The 13,447-nt window shown below is 38.3% G+C and overlaps 1 annotated feature.

The window, feature by feature from the left end:
• Nucleotides 212-778: an enhancer, noted in NCBI's record as "OCT4-NANOG hESC enhancer chr1:242756967-242757533 (GRCh37/hg19 assembly coordinates)". NCBI's record gives its function as "activates a minimal SCP1, AML or CMV promoter by ChIP-STARR-seq in primed H9 embryonic stem cells {active_cell/tissue: H9 hESC(primed)}" and the evidence as "EXISTENCE:reporter gene assay evidence [ECO:0000049][PMID:30033119]".

The following is a 13,447-nucleotide window of genomic DNA, read 5'->3' on the forward strand; positions in this document are numbered from 1 at the left end:
GGAGACTGCTTTCCCAAAATTTTGGTTCACAGCCTTCATTGGATTATCTTTTAGGACAAAGTAAAACTGGCAACTTTGTATTGCTATCTCATGGCTAAGGTTCCAAGCTATTGGATCATCATCTATGTGTATGTATACATGTCTAGATATTTACATGTACACTTATTGTTATATGTTGTGTTTACCAAAATTGGCTTATAAGTAAGATACTGTTCATACATTAAATAAGTCTAAGTAATTTTCAAGTTCACGTGACTTAAAGTATTACTTTACTAAACAAGCTAGCTTTAAAATTATTGGCAGAATAAAAATAGAAAGGCCTTCAGAATTGTCAGCATACATTTTGTCGGAATTTTATGTTTGTCTTTGCTAGATATTTTTAAATATCAGTGTTAATTCAAGCTGGGAGCTGCTTGGGGGGAGCCTGCCTCCCATTCTATTCAAAGGCTCACTGAGATAAGTGCATATCTGATTGCTTTCTTTGGAAAGGCTAATCAGAAACTCAAAAGAATGCAACCCTTTGTCTCCCACCTGTAATCTGAAAGCCCCCAAGTCCCCTCCTGCCTTTCCGGATCAAACCAGTGTTTATTTTACATATGTTGATTGATGTCTCATGTCTCCCTTGTTAAAAGTAAAAAATTAAGTACAGTGAATGGGATATATGTTTTAGGTAAGCTTTTTGTGTAAATTAAAATCTTAAAGTTATTTTTAATGCTCATTTAATATCTGGGTCATTTCAAGAAAGGGTTGTGATATGGGGAAATACGTTTCTAAAATTGTGGAATTGTTCTTATCCATAAATGCCTATACCTAATAGTTCAGGATTTCCTGCTTCTCAGGGTTTCACTAAAGTTTTAGATTACTAAGGATAAAATTCTAGTTCACATGTAATTCTGTATACAAAACGTGCCAGACAGAGTTATGTTTTTAGTGGTAAAAAGAATAATTTTGTCTAATTCAGAATTTATCTAAAAGTTAGTTGAAATTACAGATTTGAAAAGGTGTAGATTTGAACAGTGTAGTCAGGAATCATTCAGTAGGAGAGAAAGATGTGGAAAAAGTTTAAATAATAAAATATTCTTTAAAACCTGATAGAGAATGGGAGACATTTGGCTAACTAACATTTTCATAGTTAAAGCTCTTAGTCTTGATTGAAGAAAAATAATAGGCAGTTTGACAATTCTTTTTTTAATATAGTTAAGCATGAAGCTGGATTTGGTGTAAAGCCAAATTTCACATACATGTTTGCATTACCTCACACTATGTTTATTGTTTGCATAGAATGTATAATGATATTGATGAACTTAAGGATATTGAATTGTGTATCAGGAATAAAATATTCATTATGTGGGTTTTTGGGGGGCCCTGGGTAACACTGTAGCCTCCAGGGTAAATTGAGTAGGAAAATTTAGGGTTGGTTTTCTGTTTATTTGTTTTTGCTTCTAGTTTTCATTTGTTTGCTGTTTATTCTCCTCTGGCTTTACTTGTGTATCCATATATATAAAACCATGTTTGTTTGTTTGTTTTTGTTTTTTGTTTGTTTGTTTTTTTAGTTCCCAGTGGAAGGCTTTTGTTTAGTTCTATGTTCCTACGCATTTCTAGCAAGTTATTATTCGTTCCATTTATCTGGAATTCCTAAGCTACCTTTGTCAGGCCACAGGAATTAATGGAGCACACCAGCTTTTTATCCTTATAAACTAACGTTTTAGATTTTAGGCTTCCTAATACTCTAAGGGTGTTGAGTATACTTTCGTAAATAGAATTTGAATCATATTGCTCCTCTCTGCCTAACTTGTCCAACATTTGTAAATTATTTGTGAATATTCTTAATTCATGGCAATGTGTTTATTTGCATACAATCAAGCAGGGTCACCAGGGCTGCTCAAGGAGAACCCAGAAACCTGGCATGCCAGCAAAGGGTAAGAATTTCTTACCAGTCAGTCCCTGGCCTCTTCCTCTCTGTGCAAACTGATTATATATAAAGTAAAAGTCACTGTATATCTCCTCTGTAAAGTTTTAAATTAATTGGTTTAATAATAAGAACTTAAATATTTTGTCAGAAAAGTGAAAAATGTAATGCCTTTTATTTAGTTCATGTGACTTGAGTAATCTTCGGGAAATAAAGACAATTTTCAAGATTATTGGTAAAATACAAATGTCTTCAAAATGTAAAAATGTGGTCTAAATTATGTTCAAATATTAGGTTTGCTAAAAGCTTTAAGGTCATAAATTTTGAAAATTCTTTAACTTGTCTGCTTTCCAGCTAGGTAAGGCTTGGGGACATTTGGAGTTGGCCATGCCTCTAATTATGCTGGAAATAGTCAAACCTTATCAGAACATAACTTACCAGGTTTTACATTAAAGTTAAAATTGCTAAGAGTCGCCATTGTAACATGCAATTAAGACTACTAGAAACAGTTTTACATGCAAGGTGTGTAAAAACAGTAGAATGTGGGGTTTTTGTTGTTGTTGTTAAAGGTTATAAAAGATTTTTGCTTCTTTAGAAAATTTCTGAGTCATCATTTTGGCAAAATAAATAATTTATGGTAATCTGGAATTCCAAAAGCAAACTTAGGTTTCAAAATTATCTTTCCTCATGCCTGACTTTTTGGATGGATAAGAGGGCCCCTGAAAACATCCAGAAAGGAGGTAAACAGGATTATTTGATATGTTTAGGTACATGGGATTGCCAAAATGATGTTCACTCTTCTTTAGGTTATATTTTTGTGAATAATACTGATATGTATTCCAAAATTGTATGGAATTTCTAAAATTCTAATGTCTGAGTATATACTACCAATCACAATTATAGTTATTCTGTTAAATTATTGTAAATCACAGAAATAACCAAATTTCCTTGCATAAAGCTACTAACCCAGGTAAAACAAAAAAATTAATTAAATATCAATAAAATACTTTTCATGTTAAACCAGCTAATACTGAAATTGTTTAAAATAGTTTAAATTTTAAATTGTTTAAAATTGTTTAAAACATTTTATAAAGAGATTTCATTCAATTGTTATCTTCAATTCACGTGTTCTGGTTGTATTAAAAGCTTTCCCATGCAAGAAGGCTGATGTTATAACAGTAGATTGTTATGGGAACTCAGGGACCCCGAATGGAGGGACCGGCTGGAGCCACGGCAGAGGAACATAAGTTGTGAAGATTCCATTTTAATATGGACATTTGTCAGTTGCCAAATAATGCTTTTTTAATTTCTTATGCCTGTCTTTACTTTAATCTCTTAATCCTGTTATCTTCGTAACCTGAGGATGTACGTCACCTCAGGACCACTGTGAAAATTGTGTTAACTGTACAAATTGATTGTAAAACATGTGTTTGAACAATATGAAATCAGTGCACCTTGAAAAAGAACAGAATAACAGCAAATTTTAGGGAACAAGGGAAGACAATCATAAGGTCTGATTGCCTGCGAGGTTGGGCAAAAAGAGCCAAATTTTTCTTCTTGCAGAGGGCCTATAAATGGACATGCCAGTAGGAGAGATATCGCTAAATTCTTTTCCAAGCAAGGAATATTAATATTAATACCCTGGGAAAGGAACACATTCCTGGGGGGAGGTCTATAAACAGCTGCTCTGGGTTTGTCTGTCTCATGCGGTTGAGATAAGGACTGAGATATGCCCTGGTCTCCTGCAGTACCCTCAGGCTTATTAGGGTGGGGAAAAACTCCACCCTGGTAAATTTGTGGTCAGACCTGTTCCCTGTTCTCGAACCTGTTTTCTGTTAAGATGTTTATAAAGACAGTATGTGCACAGCTGAACATAGACCCTTATCAGTAGTTCTGTTTTGCCTTTTGTCCGGTTCCCTCAGAAGCATGTGATCTTTGTTCTGCTTTTTGCCCCCTTGAAGCATGTGATCTTTGTACCTACTCCCTGTTTTACAACCCCTCCCCTTTTGAAACCCTCAATAAAAACTTGCTGGTCTGAGACTCAGGTGGGCATCACGGTCCTACCAATATGTGATGTCACCCCTGGTGGCCCAGCTGTAAAATTCCTCTCTTTGTACTCTTTCTCTTTATTTCTCAGCTGGCCGACACTTACGGAAAATAGAACTTACATTGAAATATTGGGGGCAGGTTCCCCTGATAGTAGATTATTATGCTACAGTGTATTTTCACCAGGTAAAAAAAGCTTTTTATGGTTTGGATCTTCTGAGAACACTGGAGAAAGACCATTCTTGCCATCCACACTACAACACAACTTCAGGACTTTGAGCTTTGGGTCCGCGGTCTCAAAACTGAGAAGGGTCCCCCCACACATTTGGAACTGTGCACCCATTGGAACCCTTGAGGTAAAGCTAACCAGGGAAATTTATCCCAAGAAGAAGATGGCTTCTTGAAGTGAACAGCTTTTCCCAAGTTCACAGGTTAAGACTTCTACTATCATGAAACTCTTATCTTTGAATATTCTTTTTCTTGCTTATGCCTCTATGAACAATAGAAGGGAGTCTGTAACATGCACTTATGAGATATACTTTTGTTTGTGAAGGAGTTTGCAGCCAGCCTTATACATGGATAACCTTATACTTTGATAGATAAAAGATGAAGGCCCAATGTAGGTAAGAAACTTTAATGGTATGTGCGTTGCCTCATAATCAGTCAAAAACAAAACATTGGTTCACTCCTCTTAACCCACATCATGGGTTAAAGAGAACAGTGCTAGCAGGTGTTCACTATTCTAAAAGGGCATCATTTGTTAGGTCCTTTCTCACGATTTAAAAAAAAGCAATGATTAGAAATCATGAGGGATACATGTATCATGAGGGATACTCAATAGCAAATTCTACTGTAAAGGCTATAGTTACACAATAGACTTTAAATTCTCTTGTGAAAGTTATGCTAAATAATAGAATTGGCTTAACAGTGAAGTATCTGTGCAGCTGCTGGCACTTGTGACCTGCGGGGGAGGAGTGGATGGGGGGAGAATACATCAAATGAAGATTATAGAAATTCAGTGGTAGGGGACTGATGAAGAAACTGCTTAGTCAAATGAGTAAACTCTTTATCTAGCTCATTCTTTGCTCTATTTGATTTTTGGAGGTTTGGTTTATGGGGACCTTGGGTAAGGAGGGTACTCCAAACTCTTGGTATTATCCTTCCAATAGGTATAATAGTTGTCTTCCTGGTGTGCTGTATTCTCTCAATTTTAAATGCTTTCATGCAGCCATTTCTAGAATGTCATATGTTCTCTCTTCAACTGACATAACAAGAACTGGAAGAAATGTGCAATCATGAGGACACTGTAACCTATAAGTGATGTGCTGAGACCAGAAGCCCAAAATGATGGTAACTGAGAGTGGCACAAAGGCCCTAAGTTTTGGTCATGCTCTCACCTAAGTGAGCCAAAAAGAGGGAATTTTTTAAACAAAATTCTAGGAGGCCATTGTTTTGGACTGAACTCATGCACCAGGCCCCAGCAAACCAAACCGAAATGGAGTCCCTCGTGCTAAGACTTTAAGGAAACACATAGATTCTAGAACAGACCAGGTTTTGTTTTGTTTTTTCTCCTGCAAATCTCTATAACAAACATTTCTAACAGCATAGGTAGCCACCCCTTGAAGTTCTCATTAAATCTTTTAACCAAATTCATTTTCTCCTGCCTAGAGACCATCAAGCTTCAGATAATCATGCAACAAAAGACCCATCCGGTTCCGGGTGAAGACAACACCCCCACCCCCTGCCCCCGCTGCCAGCCATCAAGAAGCTACCCTGACTTCACTAGATAGAGCAGGGCTAGTTCTGTGATCCCCAATAGGTAGGGACCACGCCCCAAGCCAGCATGAAGCAATTACAGAAAAAAAGCATGGGTCCCTCTGCCTCCCAGGAAGATTTATGGGGATCACATCTCTCAGTGGGGAGATGAGGCAGGAAAATAGGGCCTAGAGGCAGGGAACATAAGGCCAATTCATACTTCAGCTATAACAGGAAATATACTCTCCATAGAGCCCATGCCATAATTGTCTTTGTAACTTTACTTCATCCTCTCCATAGGGCATACCCGAAGGAACCAGTGGAACCCTTTAGGGAGTAAACTCCCATTTTGAGCTCCTATGTTCAGGCCACTCCCACACTGTGGAGTGTACTTTCATTTTCAATAAAATCTTTCATTTCTTCCTTGCTTTGTTTGTGCGTTTTGTTCAAGATGCCGAGAACCTGGACACCCTCCACCATTAACAGAAGGGTTAGTTTACTTGTAATCCAGGTAGTTTGTCTAAATTACCCAGTTTGTTATTACCAGAAGAGAAAATGCTAGAGTGATCTTTTAAAATCATAGTATGATCATGTCATTTCTCAGTTTAAATCTTTTCAGTGCTTCTTAGAATAAAATCTAAATTATGTTTATGGTTCAAATCCCTGTGTGATCTGGCCTCTAACTTCTTCAACCTCATTTACTTTATTCTAGTTTTTCCTGATGAAAGGAGCTTTTTGTTTCCAGAGCAAGCCAAACTTTCACCTCCCTCTACCTCAAATACTTATCCCTGGATCATTCCATGGCTTCTTCTAACTCATCTTATAGTTCTCATGAAAGATGACTTCCTTGGAAAGGTTAAGGAAAGACCTGTCCTAACTAAACTAGCTTGTCCAACTCCAGCTTATTGTACTTTACTTCCTTGATAACACTTACCAAAATCTTTAATTACTTGGTTATTTTTCTTATTTTTATCTATTTAATGTACACTTTGAGAACTGGGGCTGTTTCTCTAGTAGCCAGCATGATGCCTCACACAACACAAAGAAGTTACTCAATAAACAGAGGTACCATGAATGAAGGTTGTATAAGTGCTGACAATATATGTTTGAAATAGAATTAATGATGATTTTTGTCATCCCTATGGTAGCACCAGTAGTAGCAGTGGCTGTGGCAGTTAAAAATAGTAACATGGCAGTGAAAAGCAGTCAGTCATACTGACTGTGCTTGAATTGTACTCTGTCACCTGCTACTGTGTGACTTTGGACAAGTTAACTTTTCTGTGACTCAGTTTCCTCATCCTTTGACAAGTGATAATCAAGTCTTCATCCTTTATCCAAATCCTGGGCTGAATATGTTTGGAAAGTCAGAATTTTTTTTCTATTTTAGAAAAGTAAAGTGATATATACCATACATTCTATAGCAATGCTAGCGGTGTCAAGGGCAGCTCCCATAATCAAATACATAAATATGTTTGCAATGAGACGTATACATATTAACCCTAAGTGGAATAACTAGACTATAAAGAGGCTTATGTCAGTTTGGCTGAGACTTTACTATGTAAACTTTAAAACCTGGATTTTCAGAGCTAATCCTTGAGAACTCAAATGCATGTAGCAACATAGAATTTTAGAAGTGGGAATAATTCTAATGACCATTTTTATAACTTCTCCAATTGTAATGACAAAAAGAAAGCTAAGACCTAGAGGTGTCAAACCATCCTCCCAAGGTTATATTGCTGGTTCCTAGCAGTGTTGGAGACTGACTTTCAGTTTAGTGTCCTTTCTGCTGCACTATGACTTAAAAAAATCAGAAGATCATTTTATTTCAGAGTTGAAAACAAGCACTAACCAATCTTTCTTGGGGTATCTTCCTGTCTTTAAATTGTTACATGTGAACTGACATTCCCATGATCAGTGAGTAATTTTTTTGATCATACAAATGTATGAACTTCTTAGTACATGGTGATCACGAGGAGAGGAAATGATGTTGCATCAAAGGTACCTACAACAGAGTGAAGACGACATATACAAAAAAAGATGAGCAACAAACGAGAGTCAGCATGTGATGCTTTTGAATGGGTACTAAATACTACAATATTATTTTGTATTGTAGAAAACATTATAAGCTCCTAGGGAAGTTAGAGTTGGTATGTATAGGATTATCTTTTTTTTTTTTTTTTTTTTTTTTTTAAGACAGAGTCTCTCTCTGTTGTCCAGGCTGCAGTGCAGTGGTGTGATCTCGGCTCACTGCAACTTCCGCCTTCCAGGTACAGGCAATTCTCCTGTCTCAGCCTCCCGAGTAGCTGGGACTACAGGCGCCTGCCACCACACCTGGCTAATTTTTGTATTTTTAGTAGAGACAGGGTTTCACTTGGTCAGGCTAGTCTCGAACTCCTGACCTCGTGATCTGCCCGCCTCGGCCTCCCAAAGTGCTGGGATTGCAGGCGTGAGCCACTGCGCCTGGCCTGGTATATAGGATTATCTTTAGGGTTCTATGGATACTTCCTCTTTCAAAATGAGGAAAGAGCTTTCAGATGTGTTAATCCTTATCTCATATAACAAATCATCTTCTGATACATGTGACAATTGACTGACATTTATTTTAGCTGTTGAGAATTGAGTCTTTAGTAGCATATCAAACACTAGTTCATCTTTATTCCATAAAAATACTAACATTGCCAGTAGAGAAAGTTAGTGTGTGATTTTGTAAAGATAAGGGCACTTGTTAATTTACTTTAAAAAGTTTCAGAGCCCACAATGCTGCAGGCGAACATTTTAAAGTTAAACCTGAAGTAGTATTTAATGGCACAGAGGTGGGATGGTAGCCTCTTAAGTAGTAGGGGCAGAGTCATGGAATGATTGAAACACAAATGCCACAGAGATTGCCAAAATGTTATTCTCTTGGATCCTTTACAGGCGGAAAATTCTCTGAAGGCAGAGTACCACAGACGTAGAGATGGGAAGTGTCTGCAGCAGCTGTTCACGGGAAGCTGTCGGCAAAAAGAAGGGCAGCGGAGTCATAGAATGACGCTGCAATTAGAAATGAAAAGTGGATGCAAATTTGTCTGAGGGACACATTTTTCCTCTTGAAATAATTCAAGTGACTTGCCAAAGGCCTCTGGAAATGGATGATGTGCATATTTGCTGGCATGGAAGGCTAGTTTCTTAAAACATAAAGTTTCTCATTTTTGTAAGTGTAATGAAGACATATTTTCAGTTTCCCTAATGAGCTATAGGAATAAGAAACTGTGGAAAGGGAGCCTCACCATTTTACAAGCAATTTGGTGCATGCTATACACCTAATCTAAGTTTAATTTCTTTCTTTTCTTGATAGAATTCTATTTTGTTATTACAAGAAAAAAGCCATAAAACATAAGTGGAATGCACATTTTGGTGTACCTTCCAGGTTTTCCTATGCATGTGTTTGTGATTTTTAAATAATAAATGTTTAAAATACTAAGCAAAGAGTTTTGAGGCTTCTTTTCCATTCAGAATTACGTGGACCCCCTTCCATGTCTGTACATTTTTTGCATAATGGCTGAAAAAATAATAGAGCGTTTTCTAGAACCAGCCATGTGCTGAGAACTTGACATTCTCTTTTTAAAATTTAATCTTCCAGTAACCTTATAACATTGGTATTATTATTCTCACTTTATAGCTGAAGAAATCAAAGTCTAGCTTAAGTAATATGTCCAAGTACAGTTACACAGGAAGAAGGGGAAACAGAATTTAAATCCAGGCACTCTACGAGTTTATACCGCGAATCGTATTACTCAGTTTTTCTTTTGTATGTACAACCCACAATACGGTATATCTAAAAGTTTCACACTTTTCATGAAACATAAATTGTTTCATGTTTCCTTCTTCTCTTCTTTCCCTCTTTCCTTCCCTCCCTTTCCTTCTTCTTTCCTTTCTGTTACAAACAGGTCTTTGATGAGCATCTGTTTAGCAAAATCTTGATTCATGGTCCCAAAGATTAAATGGCTGGGCATAGCAAGTGCTCACCAAATTCTGAACCTTTGCAGTTTAGCAGGCTCATGTGACAAGTTCTGGTCAGTGGGCTATGAGCAGACAGGACCTATGTCACTTGTGGATGAGACAGGGAAGACTGGCTGGGTTCCCCATGAGCTCCCTTCCTGCCTGGTGAGTCTTGAGTGTTGAGAGGGCGGCATCACAAAGCATGAAGTTCCCATCAGTGTGAGCCCCTACATGGCTAAATGGCTCCTCATTTCACTTGAATCTGTACCTTGAATGACAAAGCAAAAGCCTCTTCATGTGAAGTCACTGGGCTATTAGGTTTAAACTGTCACCACAGGTAATGGTTATTTAGGGGTGTTACACAATACCTAGCAAAAAATTATATGCATTCATCCTCTGACTCAGTGTTCCATTTCCAGGAATCTTCCCCAGTCGGAAGAAAGGAAGGAAAGGAAGGGAGAAAACAAATAATGCTTCCACAGGACTATCAACTGCAGAGGAAATGGTTTCTGAATATTTGTTAACAAATACACACTAAGGACATTACTTCATCCTTTTACTTTTTAGGCATCATTCTTTCCTCTACTCGAAAAGTGAAAATAACATCTATTGACTTTAGAGTTATGTTCTGGAAATACTGGTGTATTTACCTTGTCTTTTTGCTCACTCATGCATATTTGCATGCATCTTCCGGATTCAGAGAGTGATGGAAGCAGTTTCCTATGTTTACACATTGATGTCTGGGTGGCAGCAAGGCTAGGGGCATAAGAAGCAGATAGTATCCTGAGTTATCTGTGGGAAAAGCAGGTTTTTTTTTCCTTAGGAATCAAGTTACCGTCCTTTTGAGGACACAAGAGGTTGCAGAAGACTGTGGGTTTTGGCTTTTAATACAAAGTAAGATCCTTTTAGTTTTTATATACACAGCCTATAATACCTTAATTTCCTCAAGGGGTTTGGCTTCATTTGCATTTTACACAGTGCAATTTTGCAAGATCCCCTTTCCTTTCTCCCTTTGGGTAAATAGGCAGGGCGAGTGCATTTCTTGCCAACCTTCTGAAAGATAAAGTGCTTTTTATGTTTTCTCCCAAGGTCTCATTAAGTGGAGCATCTGAGGAAATGAGAACCTATGATGATGCCACCCTCAAACACACGACTGCCTCTGTGAGCATTTTTCAGTGAACTGCATCTTTCAGAATGACACTCCCACCTCAGCGCCCACGTCTTGGCCTTGTACAGCGTTCAGAAGGCGACCTGTGGCCGGCACACAGCATTGGAGAAGTCGCCGGTGTGATGAGAATGCCCAATGTGCCCCAAGCAGCCGTCTGTGGCAGAAGCCAGCCCTCACAAATCAAAACACCACTCTGTCGTGCACGGTGACGTGGAAAGTTTTTGAAGAGGGAATCTCTGCCCTACGCAGTTAGCGGCTGGGGCTTGACCACAATGCATAATGAGCGGGCAGCGGCTGAGCTGCAGATGATGCCTGCTGCTCTGGAGTCCACGCTACTGTCCCTCTTTTCCCGGGTAAAGCTGGAAGCTGAACTGGGAACCCCGGGGCAATCATCAAGATGCAGAATGTGAACGATAATGCTGCAACCGCAACGCACTCGTCATAAATATGCACCACACCATAAAGATATAGAAATGGGGGTGGATGGAAGAGGGGAAACTGTCACCCTGGAAATGGCTGCAGAAGGAGCCAGCTGCAGAGAATGAGGCAAGGAAGATTCCTAAGGAGAAGCTTCACTGGTGGAGGAGCCTTGGATCTTTTAATTGCATTTCATTACAGTGGAGATAAGAGTGTTGGGAAATGCTGTGTCTTTTTGCCCCTGCCATATTTCTGGCCATGCTAGTGATTCGCACATAGCGGAGGAAGCCACAGAGTTAGTGTTGGTTGACCTGTTGGGTCCTGGGGCCATTCCGAGTTTTGAAGCTCAACAGATGGGAGCATGACCCATGGAGGTAAGGCAAGTAGAAATGAGGAATTAGTAATGAGCACCATTTTGAATATGTCATCCTTAAACTTGTAGTGAGACATTCCAATGGAGAGGTATGTCAAAGGTATGAAATTAAAGAGTAGGGCTGAAAGTTCCAACCCTCTCTCTACTCATGGCTTCATCTTTCTGGTGGTAGCTCCCAGCCTGGAGCTACCTAGGGGCTCCTGCCAGGAGTCATCTTATCAGCATACAAAAGAAATTCTTATCACTCTAGAGATTCTGTGCCACCGGGAACAATATACAGTCAGGCACCAGACTCAATATACAGTTGTGCACCACGGAGGGGGTGCCTTCTGAGAAAAGGCCATTTCCTCACTGTGCAAACATCACAGTGAACTTATACAAACCTAGATGGTAGAGCCTCCTACACACGTAGGCTAGATGGTATATCATATTGCTCCTAGGCTACACTCATGTCACCTTACTGAATACTATAGGCAACTGTAACACATGGTAAGCATTGTGTATCTAAACATAGAAAAGTTACCATACAAATATAATATAAAAGATTTTTAACAAGGTACACCACATAGGGCACTTACCATGAACGGAGCTTGCAGGACGGGAAGTGGCTCTAGATGAGTCAGTGAGTGAGTAGTGAGTGAATGTGAAGACCTAGGATGTCTGAGATGTTACACTACAGTACTGTCGACTTTATCAACACTGTACACTTAGGCTACACTCAATTCATGTAAACTCTTCTTTAATAGTAAATTAATCTTTGCTTACTGTAACTTTTCAAATTTATGCATGTTTTAATGTTTTTAACTTTGACTTTTTGTAATAAAACAGCTTAAAACATAAACACAATGTACAGGTATATACAAATATTTTTTATATTCTTTTCTATAACTTTTTTCTATTTTTAGATTTTTTTAAAAAAAATTATGTTAAAAACTAAGACATAAACACACATACTGCCCTAGGCCTACACAGGGTCAGGACCATCAATATCATTATCTTCCACCTACACATCTTGTCCCACTGCAAGGTCTTCAGGTGGCAATAACACTCATGGAGGTCCATTTTTATATATAGGAATACACTCTAAAATAATGATAGAAAGTATGGCACAAAGAGTCTTCAAAACGTTCATGGAAAGTGTGTATTATAAAAAAAATTATGAATGGATTTCAAGTATTTTACAAATAAACTACTAACTTGTTATAACATGTCTGAACAGGACCTAGTTTGAAAAGAGCCCTTATCAGGGCGACATGAATTTTGCTAAAATTAAAGTGAGAACAAATATCAAATTTATGGTAAAGCTTGGATGGAAGAGTGATAAAATCATTGATGCTTTATGCAAAGTTTGTGAGGACAATGCCCCAGAGAAATCATCCATTTACAAATGGATAACTTGTTTTAAGATGGGATGAGATGATGTGGAAGATGAGCCTTGCAGTGGCAGACCATCCATATCAATTTTTGACCAAAAAAAATCATCTTGTTCATGTCCTCATTGAAGAGGACTGATGACTAACAGCAGAACAATAACCAACACGATAGATATCTCAACTTGTTCATCTTACAGAATGACTGAAAAATTACAGTTAAGCAAATTTTTCACTCCCTGAGTGCCAAAACTACTGCATCCAGATTAGCTGCAGACAAGAGCAGGGCTTTCAATGGAAATTTTAAACAAGTGGGATCAAGATCCTGAAGCATTTCTTCAAACAGTTGTAGCAGGAGATGAAACACATCTTTACCAGTACAATCCTGAGACAAGGCACAGTCAAAGCAATAGCTACCAAGAGGTGGAAGT

This window comes from Homo sapiens, chromosome 1 (genome assembly GCF_000001405.40).
Source record: "Homo sapiens chromosome 1, GRCh38.p14 Primary Assembly".
NCBI classification, from domain to species: domain Eukaryota; kingdom Metazoa; phylum Chordata; class Mammalia; order Primates; family Hominidae; genus Homo; species Homo sapiens.